The 20,715-nt window shown below is 42.9% G+C and overlaps 1 protein-coding gene and 1 long non-coding RNA gene across 8 annotated transcripts in view, besides 1 other annotated feature; both read left to right on the forward strand.

The window, feature by feature from the left end:
* DYRK1A (dual specificity tyrosine phosphorylation regulated kinase 1A) overlaps positions 1 to 18,759 on the forward strand; it is a 160,786-nt gene extending 142,027 nt beyond the window's left edge. For 4 of the 7 annotated variants that reach the window (NM_001396.5, NM_001347722.2, NM_001347721.2 and 1 more), the window contains one exon: positions 4,312 to 18,759. In NM_001396.5, the coding sequence (NP_001387.2) occupies positions 4,312 to 4,932 (621 nt within the window). In that variant the 3' untranslated portion in view covers positions 4,933 to 18,759. The remainder of the gene's footprint in view (positions 1 to 4,311) is intronic. The other 3 variants (NM_101395.2, NM_130436.2, NM_130438.2) reach the window with 1 other exon arrangement.
* Positions 48 to 237: an enhancer, noted in NCBI's record as "active region_18451". NCBI's record gives its function as "activates an Ori minimal core promoter by ATAC-STARR-seq in GM12878 lymphoblastoid cells {active_cell/tissue: GM12878}" and the evidence as "EXISTENCE:reporter gene assay evidence [ECO:0000049][PMID:35858748]".
* KCNJ6-AS1 (KCNJ6 antisense RNA 1) overlaps positions 11,037 to 20,715 on the forward strand; it is a 222,067-nt gene continuing 212,388 nt past the window's right edge. Inside the window, exon 1 of the long non-coding RNA NR_183540.1 lies at positions 11,037 to 11,443. This is a non-coding gene — a long non-coding RNA (KCNJ6 antisense RNA 1). The remainder of the gene's footprint in view (positions 11,444 to 20,715) is intronic.

Raw genomic sequence — 20,715 nt, forward strand, 5'->3', positions numbered from 1 at the left:
ACTTTTCCCCACTCTTTGAAACACTCACTGCTGGTTTCCTTGGCAGGATGTTCTTCTTTCCCTCCCCCCACCCCTTTTCTTTGCCCTTTCCTTCACTGTCTGTTTCGTTTTTTTTCTTCTACCCAGCACTGAAACCTGGGTGTTCCTCGAGGCATGACCTGTGTCCCTTCCCTACTCCGCTTAATGTTTCCTGGATGATTTCAGCCACACCTGCCAGGGCCTGCAGTCACCATCCTCATGCTAGTTGCTCCTAAGTCTTGACTTCTGACTTAGACTTCACTTCTGAACCCCTGGGGCCTTTCTAATTGTTTACTATAAATGTCACCTTGAAAGTCTCAACAATATGTGCACACACAGCACATAAACTGAAGTCATCATTTTCACTTCCTTCCCAACGCTTCTACTTTTGCCATTCTTTGTAAAAATGGCCCTAAATTTACCCATTTGCTCAAGTTGTAAATTTGGGGGCACTCCTCTCTCCCTCTTTCCCCACACTGAATCAGACAGTAAATTATCTGGATTCACCACATCTTAATACGTTTTTATTCTCCACCTTTCACTTTACCTCATTGTTATGACTTGTCTTATTAGAATGGAGTGTCTCATTCCATTCACCTGTCAGCACCATTCTCTTCCCTGCAGCCAAGTGAGCTTTCACTAAAGTGGTCTGTTCTTGCTATTTTCCCTACTTTTTTTCTCCCCTGCTGAGACGGAGTCTTGCTCTGTCGCCCAGGCTGGGGTGGAATGGAACAATCTCTGCTCATTGCAACTTCCGCCTCCCTGGTTCAAGCGAGTCTCCTGCCTCAGCCTCCTGAGTAGCTGGGATTACAGACGCACATCACCATGCTGGCTAATTTTTGTATTTGTAGTAGAGACGGGGTTTTGCCACGTTGGCCAGGCTGGTCATGAACTCCCGACCTCAGGTTATCTGGCCATCTCGGCCTCCCAAAGTGTGGGGATTACAGGCATGAGCCACTGCACCTGGCCTGTTTTCCTTACTTTAAACCAGTTTTGACTTGCCCTTCTACCTGAAGTGAAATGTAGACTTATTATCAAGGCGTCGGTGCTTTCCAGGATCTGGTCCCCACCGAGGCCATTCTTTCTCCTCTTCACTCACCCTAGTCACACTAATTCATTTTTCACTTTGTGTAATATGCCACATTCTCTCTTACTTTTCTTACATTTCCTGTGCTCTCAGCCTGGAACACTCTTTTCCTCCTCCTTTTGTTTTGGTAACTACTATTTATGCTTCAGGTCTTAAGTATCACTACTCCCAGGGGCTCTCTCTAAATCTTTAGACCATCCGCCTGTCTTGTCTTCTTCCCTTTCTTTCTTCCAGATCTATTCCATACCGCAAACACATACAAGAGTAGCATAAGACACCGCGTTCTTCCCACCTGGATTTCACAGAGGTCAAGATTTTGCTTCAAATCCTTTTTTGTTACTTAATTTTTGAGTGGTTGATATAGTCACATGGTTTTAAAAATAAGTAAATATAAAAGGGAATTCAGCGAAAGGTTTTCCTTCCTTCCATGCCTTCTAGCCCCTCAATTTCTAAACCAGTGTTATTAGTTTATTAGTTTTTTGTATACTTTTTGAGATATTTTATACATATTCAAGCAAATACAAATACATATTCTTCATCCACCCTTTGTACACAAATAGTACCATACCAGGCAAACGCTTTCAGAACATCTTGGTTTTTCTAGTCTTGACATATATTTTGGAGCACTTTCTGTATATCAGTAAATAGAGAGCTTTTTCATTCTTTTATTTATTTGCACAGTATCCCGTTGTTTAGATATTCCATAAGTCTTTTCACCATTCCCCTATTGTTTGTTTATTCATTTTTAAATTTATTTTTAGAGCTAGGGTCTTGCTCTTTAGCCCAGGCTGGAGTGCACTCGTGTCATCACAGCTCACTGCAGCCTTGAGCACCTGGGCTCAAGTGATCCTCCCACCCCAGCCTCCTGAGTAACTAGGCCTATGATTGTGTCCCAGCACACCCTGCAGTGAGGTCTCACTATGTTTCTCAGGCTGGTCTTGAACTCCTGGGCTGAAGTGATCCTCCCACCTCAGCCTTCCAAACTGCTGGGATTACCGATGTGAGCCGTCTTGGCCACCGGTCCCCTATTTATTAATGGACATTTAGTTCATTTCCAACCTTTTTTACTATTTACAAATGGTAGTTTAATAAATAACCCTGTACGGTAGTGTCCCTTCTTATCCACAGTTCCAGTTATTCAGTCAGTCACGGTCCAAAAATATAAAGTGGAAAATTTCAGAAGCAATTCGTAAGTTTTAAATTCTGTTATGAGTAGCACGATGAAATCTCATGCTGTCCCACCCTGGGCATGACTCATCCCTTCGTCTAGCATGTCCACACAGTAGATAAGTTACTTTGCTTTGTAGCCATCTAGATTATCAGATCAAAAAACATAGTATATAGAGGGTTTAGTCCTCTGCAGTTTCAGGCATCCAGTGGGGATCTTGGACTGTATCTCTTGTGGATAAGGAGGCACCACTGTACATGTCTCATTCACACATAGACATTTTATCTGTGATATAAATTCCTGAAAGCAGAATGACTGTTTCAAAGGGTAATGTGATTTATAATTTTGATAACTATTGCCAGATTGCCCCCCATGTGATTTTCTAATCCAGTAACTTGATTAACTTCATATAAAAACCATATAGTATTTTCTGAGAACTCACTGCCAGCTTTTCTACTGATTGTTTTCAGTAGTATCTCTTAAAAGTTTGGTTCTCAGACCACCTTTGTTGAATAAACCCTTAACAATTTGTGCCAGCCACTGGATAGAGACTGAGCCTTTTGCCTTCCTAGAGCTTACAGTGACACAAGTAAATAAAATGAACATGAAGAAAAATGGCAAGTAGCATTAGCTGTTAAAAAGAAAATAAGGATAATTTGGTAGAGAAAGACTGTTTGTTGGATAGGATGTATTAATTAGAATAGGCCAAACTCTGATATAACAGACCCCCAAAATATGGTAGCTTAAAGAGTACCAAGTTTCCTTCATTTTTGTGCAACAGTCCAGAATAGGTGTTCAGGTTAGTGGCTAGGCCGTCTTCCAGGTCCTGATCTCCTACCATCTTGTGGTTCCACCTTGCCCTAGGGCCTACTTGTCTACTGTGTCCAGCAGGCAGAAGGACTTGGGAGGTATTATCTTGTGTGCCAGGCTAGCAGTGACACAAGCTTTCATTCACATTCCATTGACAGCTTAGACATATGGCCATCAGTAAGTACAAGGGAGGCTGGGAAGTGTTGTGTAGCCATGTGCTCAGGAACGAGAAGAATATTGTGCACAACCAGTAGCTTCTGCCACAGTTGTTGAGGCAGCATCAGCCAGAGTGGTCAGGGAAGGCTCTGGAACTGAAGCGATGAAAAAGAGACATCCAAGCAATAAGAAAATCCAAGAAATAACATTTCTAGGCAGAAGGGAGCAGCGTGTTACTAGTACACTGAGGCATTTGAGAGATTTTGACCCAGGGGAGGAATGGAAGGCAGGTCTTCTTTGTTTGGAACTCAGGTAGCCAGGGATAGGATGGGTGGAGAAAGAGGTTAGAGAAGTGGGCATTGGCCAGATGATGCAGATCGTTGTATCCATTTGGGTTTATTTTGTTTTTCTAAGTGCAGTGAGAAGTCATTAAAGGATTTTAAATAGGGAAGTGATTGGATTTGTGTTAAGAAAAGATTGTTCCTGCTACCCTTTGGAGAAGGGCAAGGATGGAAACAAGGAGTTCATTTAAGGGGCTGTTGTGTTAGCGTAGGCAAGAGATGATGGGGATGAAGAGAAGAGGCCAAATTTGGAATCTGTTTCACAGGTAGACTCATAAGTTCTTGCTCATGGGTTGGACAGAGGCATTGTTGAGCAGCTAGGTAGATAGTAGTCCTTTATTGAAAGAAGAAAGATGGAGAGAGGAAGGACATGAGGGAAAAGTAAAGACTTCCTTTTGGACCTGCCCAGAATACTGTCCAGCCCTTTTCAGGAAATATTTGCTGACCCCTGGCATAAACAGGGCTCCCAAGGAAGGACAGTGGCTAGTGAAATAGATGAACCTATTTAAGGATATAACTTCCTAAAAATTGCAGCTTTCATGATGAAATTTTTTGCCCTTGAATGTATTTGGGATTTTGTGTTATAAAACTGTCTTAACACATTAAAAGTTTCAAAAACCGTTTCCCCCTGATTAATATGATGCTAGTTTGTTAGTGTCATGGCTTTTGATGGAAGATTAAAGCTTGGAAACAGTCCTCTGAAAAATCCTTTTAAAAATCTGTTCTTTCAGGTGCGTCAGCAATTTCCTGCTCCTCTTGGTTGGTCAGGCACTGAAGCTCCTACACAGGTCACTGTTGAAACTCATCCTGTTCAAGAAACAACCTTTCATGTAGCCCCTCAACAGAATGCATTGCATCATCACCATGGTAACAGTTCCCATCACCATCACCACCACCACCACCATCACCACCACCATGGACAACAAGCCTTGGGTAACCGGACCAGGCCAAGGGTCTACAATTCTCCAACGAATAGCTCCTCTACCCAAGATTCTATGGAGGTTGGCCACAGTCACCACTCCATGACATCCCTGTCTTCCTCAACGACTTCTTCCTCGACATCTTCCTCCTCTACTGGTAACCAAGGCAATCAGGCCTACCAGAATCGCCCAGTGGCTGCTAATACCTTGGACTTTGGACAGAATGGAGCTATGGACGTTAATTTGACCGTCTACTCCAATCCCCGCCAAGAGACTGGCATAGCTGGACATCCAACATACCAATTTTCTGCTAATACAGGTCCTGCACATTACATGACTGAAGGACATCTGACAATGAGGCAAGGGGCTGATAGAGAAGAGTCCCCCATGACAGGAGTTTGTGTGCAACAGAGTCCTGTAGCTAGCTCGTGACTACATTGAAACTTGAGTTTGTTTCTTGTGTGTTTTTATAGAAGTGGTGTTTTTTTTCCAAAAACAAAGTGCAAAGCTGCTTGAATCAGGAGGAGATTAACACACTGAACCGCTACAAGAGGGCAAAGCTGATTTTTTTTTTAACTTGAAAAGATTGCAAAGGGACATTGAAGTGTTTAAAAGAGCCATGTCCAAACCCATCTTCATGGATAGCTCAGAGGTATCCTCTTTTTGCTCCCCCATTTTAACTTGCCACATCCCAGTCACAGTGGGGTTTTTTTGTCTTTCTATTCAGCAAAAGTTAATATTCAGATGTTGGTCTTGGTCATTTGCCAACTAATTTTAAAGTAAAAGGCACTGCACATAATTTGCATAAAGGGCCCCATGAGGGTGTTTTTTTTTTTTCTTTTTGTCCCCCCCATCCCCCTTTTTTTTTGTTTTGTTCTGTTTTGTTTTGGGTGGGAGGGTGGGAAATTTGGGTTTTTAAGTCCTCTAAACACACTTGGGCACGGAAATGCAGTACTGTAAGGAAGAGGGACCTCCAGCTTCCACAAACACCATCTTCAGCTGTATGAAAGGGACGGTTGTGGTGAAGTTTGTCAGGCACAGTAAGCATGCTGAGTGGCGGGGATCAGAACTCTCCTATCTGAACCTACTGAGGAGCAAAGCAGCAATTACATGGGATCCTGTGGCTCTCCCGTTGCAGAGGCCACAGGAAGATAGGATGGAACGTGACTGGTCTCCTAACCAAGGTGCACTGAGAAGCAATCAACGGGTCGGTCGTGGCCAGTCCTGGGGAGGTCTGAGTGGTGGTCTTTGGGATAACCTTTGGCCTTATGGATTTGGACTCGAAATTAGAAGAGCCTACCATTTCAGATGCAATCACTTTTGGACATGCTTTTGCAGACAGTCCTTAATGCTGAAAACACAGAGAATGGGTAATTCAAGAGGCCTTTCTTTTAAAATAGACTTTTGTGACCCACTAATTGTAAGGTATTGCAAGGTCACTTTGCGTGTGTCATAAAGTTGACTTCCTTATTGGTTGAAGGTCACAGAAGTAGTGGTTTGCTTTGATGGAAATAGCTACAGCTGTGTCCCTTCCTGCTTTTTACTTTTTCTTTTGCTTTTTCTCGGCACGTGGTATCTCCACCATTTCTTCTGCACAAAGATGTCTTCTGTTCATCCTGAACATTTTTAAAAAATGCAGAATTTTATGTGACTGCTTTTTTGCCTCACAATTATGCTGTGAATTTTACAAAAATTTATTTTCTTTTTTGATAATTTATTGTACCAAAGCTGTTTTTATAGCACATAGATGTCTGTAACCAATAATGTAGCAGTTCTGCACTTTGACACAAGGTGTAACTAGACCATTTTTAAATGTCAGTTGAAAATTATGGCTGTACTATTGCTTAAACAAAACTGGAACTGTTGTTGAATCCATAGCCAATACATTTACAGCAATCTGTGTACTGAACATAGTAGATTGACATCTAATTCAAGATTACAACATCTGTTACATTCTAAGTGTGTTCAGGCTTCTGAAGGTAAAGGGACACTGGATCCAGAAGCTATGGAACCAGCAGTTGATTCTTGTATTCCTGATTAACCTACTTGTAAACTTGAAAGCAAGACCTTGATTGCACCAACAGGTCCAGAGTATGAGTGCAAGCAAAGCAGAACTCTCATGCGTGACCTGAGCAGACAGGCTGGTATTTAACAGGTGCCTCGTGTTGAGATTACGCTGCCTTAATGTAACACAGTCTGGCAGTTGCTAAATTTGTGTTCCCATTTTAAATTGACCAATTTTGGGGTGTGACACTTTTGAGCGGTTGAATTGGGAGAATGAAGATAAGTAATTTACCTGTCCAGGATCAAAAGAAGCCTAGAAAAGAAGCAGTAATCTACCTCTGCCGATAACCTGTTTAAGATGACTCAGCAGAACACCGCGTTTCATTCTATTGGTCAATTCCATGTGGCTGACTAGGTCAATTTTTTTTCTGAACAAAAGCAGGTTTTTATATGTAAACAGTGAGAAAAGAAAGGCTAAACACTATGTAAATGTGAATGGAAACTTGGAAATACTCGTTTTTATAAACTACAAAAACTTTTTGTTGTTTATCAGGAAATCCATATTTATTTTGTAATTAACTGTCAAGCCTGTGGATGATTTTTTTGAACTTGGTAGTTCATAAAGGTTTACAGTGAATAAAAGGATATCATCTTGAGTATAGCAATATCAAAAGGAATTCAGTAGTTACTGCTGTTTAGGAATATAAGGTTAAGATATCATATGGGTCAGGTCATTTTTTTTTTCTGTGCTGGTTGCCACATCTTAGCAAGCACCAAAAAACTAAAGCAGTTTTTAAACCGATATTTACGTAAAGAAAATCATAAAATCCAATGCTTCTGCATACTGTGTTATGTTACAGTCCAGTTTTGTGTGCTTTACTACACAGTTTGGTTACAGGACTTCTGTGCATTGTAAACATAAACAGCATGGAAAAGGTTAAATACCTGTGTTCAGATTGTAAGATCTAGTCCGGACTTGCTGTGTATATTGTAACGTTAAATGAAAAAAGAACCCCCCTTTGTATTATAGTCATGCGGTCTTATGTATGATAAACAGTTGAATAATTTGTCCTCAGACTCTTTACTATGCTTTTTTAAAAATTAATTTAAGAAAAATGTAAACATAGTAAAAATCTTCCTATGCAATTAAACTGGTCCAGGTCTGGTAGGTATAGTATCAAAGTTGAGTTAAATGTGTAAAAAGGAAACTATTTGAGATACATTGACATAGGCATCAGCAATCTCTGAAAGTAAAAATTGGAGGTTTAACAGATCATTTTGATTTTTCACATTGATTTTTTTATTTGAATGTTTACATAATTTTGTGATTCAAAATGCTCATATTTTAGTTGGTAGCATTTCGACTGGATGTGAGGGTCTGATGGTTTTCTCTGATATGCTTTGACGTGCTTGGATGAAGGAAGGAATACGAATACTCATTCTTCCTTCCCTAACTCCTCGTACGGGGCCATATCAGAATTCTAGAATTCTTGCCACTGTGATTCAATTGCTAACCTAAAGTCTTCTCTTTTTACAAATTCACCTGCTTCAGTATATATTAAGGTGGCTTTCGAGAGGCAAGATGCTTATTTAAAAGTTAAGCGTGAATCTGTAAAATTAAGGTTGGTTGCGTAAAGTTGAAGTTAACCACATGTAAGAAAGGAAAACTTCCATTAGTTTTCTTCTTAGGGTGTGAGAATTTTACCTAGGCACATGGATATTGGGCTGAAAAAAAAAAACCGACATTTTTATTTAAAACTACATGTAAAAAATCATGAAAGATTCAGTAATTATGTTAGGCTCACAAGTGACCATTGAGTTTGCCCCTGTACTGCTTCCCAGCTTTTGTGGTGTTGAACTTTTCTGTTCTTCCAATAGGGAGATACATAATCAAAATACACACGAAGACGAGATAGCAGGCACTCAGTTCTAGGCCAGTTTCTCAGTTTCCTTTGGGCCTGCCTTTATTTTGATAGTCGCAGAATGCAGGTTCAGATGCGATCCGGTGCATTCTGGGTGGTATCCCCATAGACAGAATACAAGTTCAAGACTCATTTTTATGTCCATTTTTATAGTGGTAGACTGTATGTAATAGACCAGATGGTTCATTCCAAATACATGACTTGGTCTTACTGCTATATATGAAGGAAGTTTGAAAATGTAATGGGGACAAAAGCCGTGCGTGACTTCGGTATACCCAGACTTCATTCAGATTTCTTAAAAATCTGCTAGGGATGTCTGTTGACCAGACGTTGGAAAACCTTTGGTGTCAGGGAGAGTAGAGGAGAAGTTCTGATTTTCATAACCCTGGTTTCTTATCTAGGCCTGTTTCCTTGCGTGAAAACATACATCACCAAGTAATTTGTAGTACAAAGAACAAGAGAAGAAACCCTAAGAAGATAGCTTATTTGTTATCCTCCCTTTTAATGACTAACCTTAATCCAAATGAATCCACTGAGAACCAGCCTGTGGATGCCTACTGGGCTTTCACCCTGGACCAGGAATTTTTGACGTATGCCTGTGTTGAAGGCACTGGATGCTTGTTTTGTGGAAGACATGTTCATTGAGGTAAGTGGCTCATCGCTTGGTGTGTTTGGCTCTCTTTGGCATTATGCATAGCCAAGGTCCCAGATTTTGGCTGCTCTCAGTGGGTGTTCTTGCATCAGAACTTTAAAAAAAATAACACTACCTTAACACTGAGACTGTCAGGTATTTGTCAGTATTTATTTCTAATTTCCTACTTTAAATCTTAGGAGACAAAGTGTTTCTCCAACTGGACGCTGATTTGAAACACAACTAGAATGCTACAGGTCTCTCTTCCAGTATGCAGCTGCTGTACCTGAAAATTTTTCCCCATAATTTCCCATCTTTAGGGTATGTCCCTGTTATCAGGTGTGGAATTAATGTGGGTAAATTTCCATTTCAGTTGAATTTCCTGTCATCCCCAGCAAAACCTGTGAATCCTTCTTCAAAGCATAGAGGAGGCAGAGACAAGTCTTAAACCGGCTTCCCTTCGCTTTTACCAGGTAGCCTGGTTCAGTCCCAGCTGGGTCCTGAAGGAGCACAGTACTAGAGCCTGAGTCATGTTGACTATTAATAAAGTGCATTAAGTTTGGGTCAGGCAAAGTGGTGGCAAAAGTTCATGATGCAGGACAGAGGAAACAAGTGGACAAGACAAGTGGAGCCCAGCTCTGTTCGCATGGGAGGCCGGGCGATGCTGGCATGGGTGTGGTTGGCCGAGTTCTCATAGCTAGAGAAAGGCCGTGTAGGTATAAGTGCTTAATGTTTCATCTGTCTGAAAGACCAGCTATTTGATAATCTTCCCGATTAAATTTCTAAAATTGCTACTTTGGGAATTTTTTTCTTTATTCTTGTAAAGTTTTGCTTCCATTATATACTCATTCATTAGTCAGTGTACTTGCCCCTGAATTCCATATCTGAAACTGCAGTCACGGGAGATTCAGAGCCAAGGGCAAAATAAAGTGGCAGGCACTGGGTGTGTGTGGTAGTTCTGCACTAGGGTGGCCAGGAAGCAGCCAAGCAGGTGTGCCGGGCAGGGAGTTGTTAATGAACACCCAGGCAAGAGGACGGGCCTGAGCCTGAGTGTGGCCAGCAGAAAGTGTTGAGTTGCTTAAAAGAGACCCTGGGAGGATGAATTTGGAATCATCATCCACTCACTGTTGGACAGAAAGACTGCAGAGAAGGGCACTGCTGGGGTGGGGTTTGTTAACTCCCTCTGAAATGAAAGAAAATACCTCTAGTGGCATGAAACGGCTAAGTTTTTTTTAATGTTACTTCTTTAATTTTAGAGACGGTGTCTGGCTTTGTCACGCAAGCTGGAGTTTGGTGGTGTGATTGCAGCTCACTGCAGCCTTAAACAACTGGGCTAGGTGATCCTCCCATCTCAGCCTCCCAAGTAGCTGGGACTACCTGTGCACACCACCATGCCTGGCTGTTTTTAATACGGGGTTTTGCTGAGTTGCTCAGGCGCTCCTCAAACTGCTGGCCTCAAGTGATCCTCCAGCCTGGGCCTCTCAAACATAAATAGGCTGGGCGTGGTGGCTCACGTCTGTAAAGATTTAAAGCGGAAAAGCGGAATGCAGTGAAATAGCATGAGAAAGAGCGTTTTTATGTACATCACAGACAAGCCTTGTTCTGCTGAAGAGGTGATGCCACGAGGTGGGGAGGAGCTCACTTCAGGCACCACTCCCACTTCCATTGCCCGCAAATCCAGGAAAGAAATGACTAATGAACTCTAGTGATCGCAAACTGCTCAATCGGTACTCATCAATTTAAAATGACTGTCCAGCCTTGCTGCACACTAAACTCATCTGTAGAACTTTATAAAACCACGGATGACCATCACACTAGCAGGATTTTAGATTCAGAGTTGGGGTGGGGCCTGGAGCTCTGTTTTCTGAAACTTTGCGGGCCATTCTGAACCTGCAGCCAGGCAGGACTCTGGCAAGAAGAGGCGTGTGGCTAATATGACGGAAGTCTGAATCCAAGGACTTTTTTTTTTTTTTTTTTTGGAGACAGTCTTGCTTTGTCTCCCAGGTTGGTGTGCAGGGGTGTGATCTCGGCTCACTGCAACCTCCATTTCCCAGATTCAAGCGATTCTCGTGCCTCAGCCTTTCAAGTAGCTGGGATTACAGGTGCACACCACCACACCCAGCTAATAGTATTTTTGATAGAGAGGGGGTTTCGCAATGTTGGCCAGGCTGGTCTTGAACTCCCGACTTCAAGCTATCCACCTGCCTCGGCCTCCCAAAGTGCTGGGATTACAGGCGTGAGCTACTTCACCCAGCCCCAAGAACATCTTGAAATGGAGTTTGATTACCAAAGTTTACATAGAGTAATGGATAATTAAAATTTTCAATTTATGGTGCATTACAAAATGTTATAAACAAGCCTCCGGGAAAGGCAGAAATTGCCAGATGTAAGTATATAAAACTTACACAGTTTGTTCCTTTTTGTTGTCTTCCCTTGTGGAGATGGGTCAGTGTAACATCCTATTCATTAATAGCTCTCAGATGTCCCATGAGAATGGCACATGTTATTTCCCAACAGTGGGAATGGAATTAGTTCCTTTATATCTCAGTCTCATCTGGTCTTGTAAGCCGGTGAAGGGTTTCCCAGGGCACCAGCCACCAGCTCTGTATAGTAGTTACAGTTTCCCTCTCTAGAATCCCAAAGAGGTTCAGATCCCACTGCTCCTCTCATTGGCTTCGTGACCCTGGGTACGCTGCTCAACTTGCGCAAGGATTACTGTCCGCTTTGTACAATGGAGATACCTATAGTGTCCACTTAGGAGATGCTGTGCATGCCTCAGTGAGGTAATGTCCGCAGAAAGCACAATGCCTAGTATGTAGAAAGTGTCCGATAAATATAATATGCGGCTAAACAGCGGAGTCCACAGCCTGAATGGAACTTCTTTTTCTACGTAAATACAGCAAACAATGCAGGGAAATGAGGTGGACAGTGTTCTCCGTGGAGGGCTAAACAGCATTGCTTTCCAGCTGACTTTTATTTTTGGAGTCTGGGACTAGGTGTTAACATTCCTTTACTAGTTGGTTTTGCATACCGCACAGTCCCTGCATCTATTTAAGAGTTTTGAGGTTTGTTGTGGGAAGTTTTTTTTTTTTTTTTTTTTTTTGAGGCGGAGTCTCGCTCTGTCGCCCAGGCTGGAGTGCAGTGGCGCGATCTCGGCTCACTGCAAGCTCCGCCTCCTGGGTTCACGCCATTCGCCTGCCTCAGCCTCCAGAGTAGCTGGGACTACTGGCGCCCGCCACCACGCCCGGCTAATTTTTTTTGTGTATTTTTAGTAGAGATGGGGTTTCACCATGTTAGGCAGGATGGTCTCAGTCTCCTGACCTTGTGATCCATCTGCCTTGGCCTCCCAAAGTGCTGGGATTACAGGTGTGAGGGAGTTTTTCGGTAGTTTGCTTTGCCTTGATAAACTATATGATATTTAAATGTTTTATAAGGATGGGTTTTCAGTAGAATTTCTCTGTACAACCTCAGGGAGACTGCCTGGAGGAATAACTGTGGTAAGGGTCTGTTTTTGAACAGGCATGGTCATTAGACCCTTGTGATCACGCATCCAGGGGCCAGTCCCCACCCTTTGCTCCCACTCCAAGGAAAGTCTGTTACATTTTTAGCCTTCAGAGGTTTGATGTAGATAGGAAGAGATGAGGGTGACAGAAATCAGCTCTTAAGTTTATAAATAAAACAGGGATATTATCGGGGAAGCTTTTGAAATGTAATAGGTTGTAACCCACATTTTGAAAGCAGTAAGGAAATAATTGCTGCTTTTTTCTTCTTCTTTATTCTGTTGACTTTGTTGATAATATTAGGTGACTACATCGAGCCTGGGTTCTCTCAGTATTAGCCTGTTATTCCTAAAGTATCATCCTCTCCTTGTATCAAATATAAGGACAAAAATGTCTTAGGATAAAAGTCTGTTTGTTTGCATTAGACTATACATGATTTGCATTACAATGGGCCGTGGATTTGGATGGATGATGAAGCTGAAACAAGGGACCTAATCATGGGATTTAACTGTTCACTTCAGGTAGATAAGATATTTCTGGGAGAAGTAAATTGGATGAGCTTTTGTGCTTCCCAGCAGCTCCAGGTCTTGTCCCTGGCCAGTCTGGGCAGCTCTGCGCTCAGAGGCCTTTGGCACGATGGGTCCTCCCAGCAGGGGCTCCAGCGCTCACCGCTGGGTGAGATCTACAGGGCTCAGTGCGCTTGGAGTCCTGGATTCCTCCAGGACTGCTACTGTATTCCAATTGAGTGGTGGTTTGCTCTTCACAGAGCGCTTACATGGGATTCTTACCTTCTGACTGGAGTGTCACCCTCGCCCAGGAATGTGGGTGCTGGAGAGACGGGCTACCTCTTTCTGTAGGCGGATGTTTCTGAAGGCATCTCCCACTGATTATGTAATGACAGCTACTTAACATCTTCTGTAGTCTTGAAGAATTCAGATGAGGAGCTTGTCCAGGGAGGGCTCCCACGTGCGTATTCACTAATTGTGGTCTTTCTCCCCAGCTCGGTTTTGTTTGCGTATTAGAGTTCTGACCATCTTCACTAGAAGTGGGGGCGGCTAGCAGTGACTAGATGCAAGAAGCAAAACGGTAAATTTCCTTTTACTGGCAAAATTAAAACAGTGAACTTGAAATATCTCCCCTACTCCCTGCAGAGACACTCTGAATCAAAGAAAACAATCAGTACTAACCCTGGAAACAATTTAAAAATGAACAAAAAGTCCTACCCTGAAGAAGAAGAATGTCTTACCAGCAAACGGTCTTGGGACAGCTGGTGTGAGAACTATATAAGAGAAATCAACAAATATTAATTGAACACCAGTCATGTGCAAAGCACTTAGCTAGGTCTTAGGGATGAGGACAAAAAGCATGTCACATTTTGTTGTTATAAGTGGGAAAGATAAGTAATTACAAGTAAGCCCAGTGTTTTTAAAAGAGTGTGAACAGAGACCTTATTCTAATCCAGAGAGGCTGTGAAGTGCTGTATTCCCAAGGAACTGAAGTTCTAGCTGATACCTAATGGAGGAATGGGTGTTATCCTGGTGGGAATGCCCTAGAATCTAGGAGAAGACAACAGGCCATTCGAAGGTGAGGAGGCTTGCCAGCATCAGTTTATAAGTGGACAGAGTCGAGAGCTATTTAGGAAGGAGAGCTGACAGACCTCGGGGACTGAATGGATGCTGGGAGTAGGGGTGAAAAGAGAGGAGTCAGGCTTCCTCCCAGAGTTTGAGGACTTTGAGTGCTAAGGGCTTGTAGGAGAACGTTGTGGAGATGTCCGGTAGGCATCTGAAAGAATGGATGGAGGAGGGGAAAGTCGGGCCTGGGAATGGCCAATTTCTGGTCATTCTCATATAGGCAACTGATGGCGAAGGGGATGACCTAGAGGGAGTTGGGAGGACAGCCTAGGATACGTAAATAAGAGAATCTTGTATGTTCTAAAAATTAACATCATTGCAGCTTCCTCAGCCCTAGGATGGTTTTTAGATCTATCAAGGGATAGAAGATTGTCCAGCCCCTTGCTGCCCAGTGTAGTCAGTGGGCTGACGACATTAGCATCACCTGGGTGCTTGCTAGCAATGCAAAATCTCAGGCCCCAGCCCAGACCACTGGATGAGAATCTGCATTTGAACAAGGTCCCCAGGTCATTCATGCACATTCAAAGTCAGAGACACTGCCCCAACACCTCACTTTAGAGTGAGAAAACTTAACAGGTTTAAGCAACTTGCAGAAGATGACACAACTGACCAGCGACAGTCTGTCTTCTAGTCAGGCCTCTTTCCAGTTCTCCACGCTGACCTTGACTTTCGAGATCACATACCAAGACCTTCAGCTGGATGGTCCCTGTAGCTGCTGTGACCACTAGAAGCAGGGTTAGGGGCGAGACTAATTTAATATCAATTAATGTAGACACTAGGCTTAGGGCTAGGGAAAATGTAGTGAAGGATGCCTGTATTGTCCTAATGAACCACACTGGTGCCTACAAAATTTTTATTTTGGCAAAACCGTCCATGAATTTGGAGATGTTGAACAGGTTTCTCTCCGACAATCGTCTCGTTTAATTGTGAAACTAGAATCACTTCCAGGAAGCTCTGAAGAATCAAGTCTGAGTGATGCAATGCTGCTTCCTCCTTCCTTCTCAAAAGCCTGCTCTTTGCCCATTTCTCTGTTCCCAAGGTCATTTTCTCCCCTTCTTGTTTCCAGGATCCACAGTTCCTGCTCTGCTTCCGCTTTCCCCACTGCTGGTTCAGGCTGTCTGCAGCAGCAGCAGCTCCAGGGTGCTGGGACACTGCTGGGTGACGCTCCACAGTGTGTGCTTCCCCATGTGGCTTCCACAGTCCCCTCTTGCTTCTCCCACATGTTAGTCTTCATAGATTAGTCTTCATCAATTCTTAGTATTATTTTTTAGGGATAGGGTCTTGCTGTGTTGCCCAGGCTGCAGTGCAGTGGTATGATCTCTGCTTACTGCAGCCTCCACCTCTGGGACTCAGGCGATCCTCCTGCCTCAGCCTCCCAAGTAGCTGGGACCACAGGCGCATGCCACTGTGCCTGGCTAAATTATTTTATATTTTGTAGAGTTGAGGTCGCACTTTTTTGCCCATGCTGGTCTTGAACCCCTGGGCTCAAGCGATCCTTCTGCCTCAGCCTCCCATTACGGGCAGGAGCCACTGCACACAGCTGATGAATTTTCGTTTAGGCCCCTTTCTTTGTGAGAGGGGGCCCCAGGATTATGCCCCGGGATTAAAAGAAGCTGGGAGGCTCTCCAGGACCCTGAACAAAGGTGGAAGTAGGGTTGTAAATGGAAGAAAAAATAAGAGAGATTCATTATGTTCTAATGACTATGAGGGAAGCTTTAGTTTTTGTCTCCCTGAAGCATCAACCTGCTTTCCTGCTGCTGTTATCACATCCTTCCAGGGCTATCGGCTGTTCAGGAACAGGAGAGCTCTGGAAGAGCAGGGACGACTTTGGCTTCTGTTTCCTGCCCATTGCAGATTAGGCATCAGCAAGGTACCCTCCTGTTTTTGTATGGCTCACCAAACTAAGGGTGATTTTCACATTTTACATGGCTGAAAAACATCAAATGATATTTCAGGACATAGGGAAATTATATGACATTTGAATTTCAGTGTCCATAAATGAAGTTTTATTGGAACATAACCACATTCATTTGCAAGTTGTCCACGGCCACTTTGGTGCTACTGTGGCAGAATTGAGTAGTTGCTGCAGAGACCGTATGATGAGAATATGTGGCATTCTCATCATTTTGCCCTGCCGCTCTGTGCAATGTAAATTGCAGTGACACAGTTATAACTCAGCAGCATTTTGAATGCCACTTGTATTCCCATGCTACAACATTTTATTTTTTATTACCAATATATACAAGAAAAGTGGATTTCAAATATCATTGTGCTTTTAAGGTACAATGGAGTATGAATTGTTACTGAATTAGGCAGCAAAGTGCAATGACATGGTAGCTGTCCTAAGGAACACAATACAACCAGGTGCAGTGGCTCATGCCTGTAATCCCAACGATTTGGGTGGCTGAGGTGGGAGAATCACTTGAACCCAGGATTTGGAGACCAGCTTGGGTGGTATAGTGAGACCCCCCATCTCCACAAAAAGTAAAAAAAAACCAAAATACATGTTGTTACTTCCCATCTTAGCACTCATCAAGATATTTCTAATTCACAAGAAAGCAATGGTCAGAAAAATTAGAAAATTTAAAATTGAATATCTCATCACAGAATTTATTCACAAAAATAAAAAATGAAAATGAAGCTACAACCAAAGTAAGTTTCAGATGGCTCATTTGTTAGCCAAGCAAGGAAAGTCACTTATGGTGAATTAATTAAATCATGCTTGATTACTGCAGCTGAAGAAACATGCTCAGAGAAAGTAAACTTGTTTATTGGCCTTTCCACGACAACAGTTGCTCAAAGAGTTGACATTAGGAATGACATCAGTAGTCGACTAAAAAGGCAAATGGTTTTGAGTGGTTTCCCCTGACTCTCATGACAGGGGTCACCATATGTTATGCACACTGCTCCGCTATTGCTCTTTATTTGAGGAGCCAGTACCAAGTTGGAAGTAACTGAAGAATTGGCCTCTATCAATAGTCTTATGTGGAACAACTACTGGCAAAAGTATTTTCAAAGCTGAGAAAACTGGTCAGGTGTGGCGGCTCATGCCTATAGTCCCAACACTTTGGGAGGCCAAGGTGGGCAGATCACCTGAGGTCAGGAGTTTGAGACCTGCCTGGCCAACATGGTGAAACTACATCTCTACTAAAAGTACAAAAATTAGCCGGGCATGATGGCATGCACTGGTAATTCCAGCTACTCAGGAGGCTGAGGCAGGAGAATCGCTTGAACCCAGGAGGTGGAGGTTGCAGTGAGCTGAGATTGCACCACTGTACTCCAGCCTGGATGACAGAGTGAGAACATTGTCTCAAAACAAAAAGTTGAGAAAACGAATTCAGTACACCCTGAAGTGGAATCTGCTAAGATGTGTTATGACTGTTGGTAGTGGAAATATATGTGTGTATTAGTCCATTTTCATACTGCTATAAAGAAAAGCCTGAGACTGGGTAATTTATAAAGAAAAAGAGGTTTAATGGACTCACAGTCCCGCATGGTTGGGGAGGCCTCACAATCGTTGTGGAAGGTAAAGGAGAAGCCAAGGCAAGTCTTAGGTGGCGGCAAGCAAGAGAGTGTGTGCAGGGGAACTGCCCTTTATAAAACCATCAGATCTCATGAGACTTACTCACTATTATGAGAACAGCATGGTAAAATCCTGCCTCCATGATTCAGTTACCTCCCACTGGGTCCTACCCATGACACGTGGGGATTATGGGGGCTACAATTCAATGAGATTTGGGTGGGGACACAGCTAACTCATATCAGTGTGGAATAGAAAATGGCTCAGTTGGACAACTTACAAAGCTTGTAATAATATAAGGTGTTAAAGCCTATAGATTATTCATTGTATTATTTAAGTCAACAGATACTTTGTGAGAAATATTTGAATCTATCATGCATTATTGAACCAGTATTGTCAATAGTGAACTTCCTTTAGCTCTTGTGGACTTCACTATCAACAGCTCTCATGAATTTTTGTCAGAAATATTAGCTGAATATCCCGACATGGCCTGTAATACAGCAGTTCAATGGTTTAGTAGTGGTAAAGTTTCATTTAAGTTTTGAGCTCAGGACAAAGATTGAAATTTTTCTGAATGAGAACTGCCCCGAACCACCGTTACTAAACACTGAATAGTTTTGGAAATTCACTTTTGCTGCAGACTTGATAGTGTTTCTTAAGGAATTCAGCCTAAACCACAAGATAAAAACAGTGTTTATGTGAAACTCCTACTGTGTTAAGTGATTTCAAGAAGAACTATTGTTTGAATCACAACTAATGTTACTGCTTTAAGCTCTTCCCATGTTGTTAAAAGTTAAAAAAAGAAGAGCTCCATTCCCACACACATTTGCCACAGATACATTATCTGAGCCCAAACTACAGTTTGAGCAGTGTGTTAGGGACCTCAATGCAAACCCAAAAGAAATTTTTATATTTCAGAATCCATTGATCTGCATTTGAGAAGTGATTAATGTGTTGAAAGGCAACTATCTAAAGAAAAATTTAATAGAGTCTAATAGAATCTTATAAAAATGTATAAATGTGTTTTATGTAATAAATATGCTAAGCTAAACATCTTATGCTCATGAGCTGGGTGCAGTGGCTCACACTTGTAATCCCAGCACTTTGGGGGTCTGAAATGGGAGGATCACTTCAGCCTAGGAGTTCAAGACCAGCCTGGGCAACATGGTGAAACCCTGTCTCTACAAAAAAAAAAAAAGTACAAAAATTAGCCTCGCTTGGTGGCACATGCCTGTGGTCCCAGCTACTTGGGAGATGGAGGTGGGAGCATCATCCGAGCCTGGGAGGCAGAGGTTGCAGTGAGCTGAGGTCACACCACTGCTCTCCAGCCTGGGTGACAGAGCAAGACCCTGTCTCAAAAAAAAAAAAAAAATGCTCATGGACATAGTAGTGTTGGGAAGGTACCTATCTGTGTGAAGACATGTTCAAAGATGAACTGTGTCACATCTCATTCCAAATCAGCATTAACAGATAAATATATGCAAATATGCAATTGGTTTTGACGATTCACAACACTAGCTCTGAATCTCAATTAGGGAAATGTTATTCCCCCAAAAGATTTCCAATTCTTATTGGTAGACCGGCGTTACCAGAAAATTGTACTCTATTGTTATCCTTGAATTTCATCAATTAAGATTTTTTTGGAAAATATTTTTGGAAATATTTATTCTCTTCTTATAGAAAACACCTATTCAATATTTTAGATTTGCGCCTTTTGACCCAGAAAACCTAAAGTATTTGTTATTTTTACAAAAAACATCTCTAAGAGATGGAGCAAATAAGTAAATGGGTTTGGGTTTACAGGTTGGTATCCCCAAAAAGCAAGTTTGGGGCAGGAATCTGGGACCTTCTGCTCCCACTCCCCAGCACAGCCTCTGCTTCTTAAAGTCCTGGGGCCTGTAGGAGGAAGGCACCTTGGTGAGAACCACCAAGAGGATGGCTACGTGCCCAGCAGCGGGAGATGGCAGTCCAGAGATGAGTTTGCAGGCCTGCAGCTCGTCTGCTGAGCTCGTCAACCCTCATGCTGATCTCCACTCACCAGTTTGCCTGCTTAGCGGCAGTCCTGTTGTGTGGATCTTCTCACTTAATGCACACAGCAGTCCTGTGAAGCAGATGGACCCTGTTCCTGTCCTCATTTCTGAGATGGAGAAAATTGAGGCCCCAAGAGAACGGTCACTTGTAGCATCCATTGGCTGCAGTGTTGAGGCCAGCTTTTGACCCCAGGCAGGCAGAATCCAGAGACTGCTTTGAACTCCTCTGCCAAGCCCACTGGTGAGGAATGCTCAATTACTGCCCCACATTGAGAGGCATTTCTTTATTCCTAGTACCAAAAAAAAACATGCTTAGCAAATAGGCTTTGGAGTCAGGCAGAGCCTCCCCGCCACTTTTTTTGTGTTTTTGTTTTGTTTTGTTTTTTTAATAGGAGACAGGATCTCACCCTGTCGCCCTGACTGGAGTACAGTGGAGTGTTCATAGCTCACTATATCCCTGAACTCCTGGGCGCAAGCAGTCCTCCTGCCTCAGCATCCTGAGTAGCTTGGACTACAGGTGCATGCCACCACCAAGCCTGGCTAATTTTTTTTTTAATTGTTTTTGTAGAGACGGAGTCTTGCTATGTTGGCCAGGCTGATTTGGAACTCCTGGGCTGAAACACTCCTCCCAACTTGGCCTCTCAAAGTGCTGTGATTACAGGTGTGAGCCATCATGCCTGGCCCAGACCCCATTTTAAATCACAGATCTGTCGTATACTAGTTGTGTGTCATTAGGCAAATTGCTTAGCCTCTCTGATCCTTTATTTTCCTCAGCTATCAAATGGGGATAATAATATTTGCCTTGCAGCATTGTTAGGGTTGGATACAAGTTTGGAAGGCCCAGATGTGATGATTGGCACACAAAGGCTAATACTGGGATTCCAAGGAGTCCCATGTGGTGGGTCCATCCGGGCCCAACAGGTTGTATATCTTAGCACTCATTCGGCCCCATCCTGCCTTTCCCTGTAACAGTGGCC

Source organism: Homo sapiens, chromosome 21, assembly GCF_000001405.40.
Source record: "Homo sapiens chromosome 21, GRCh38.p14 Primary Assembly".
NCBI classification, from domain to species: Eukaryota; Metazoa; Chordata; class Mammalia; order Primates; family Hominidae; genus Homo; species Homo sapiens.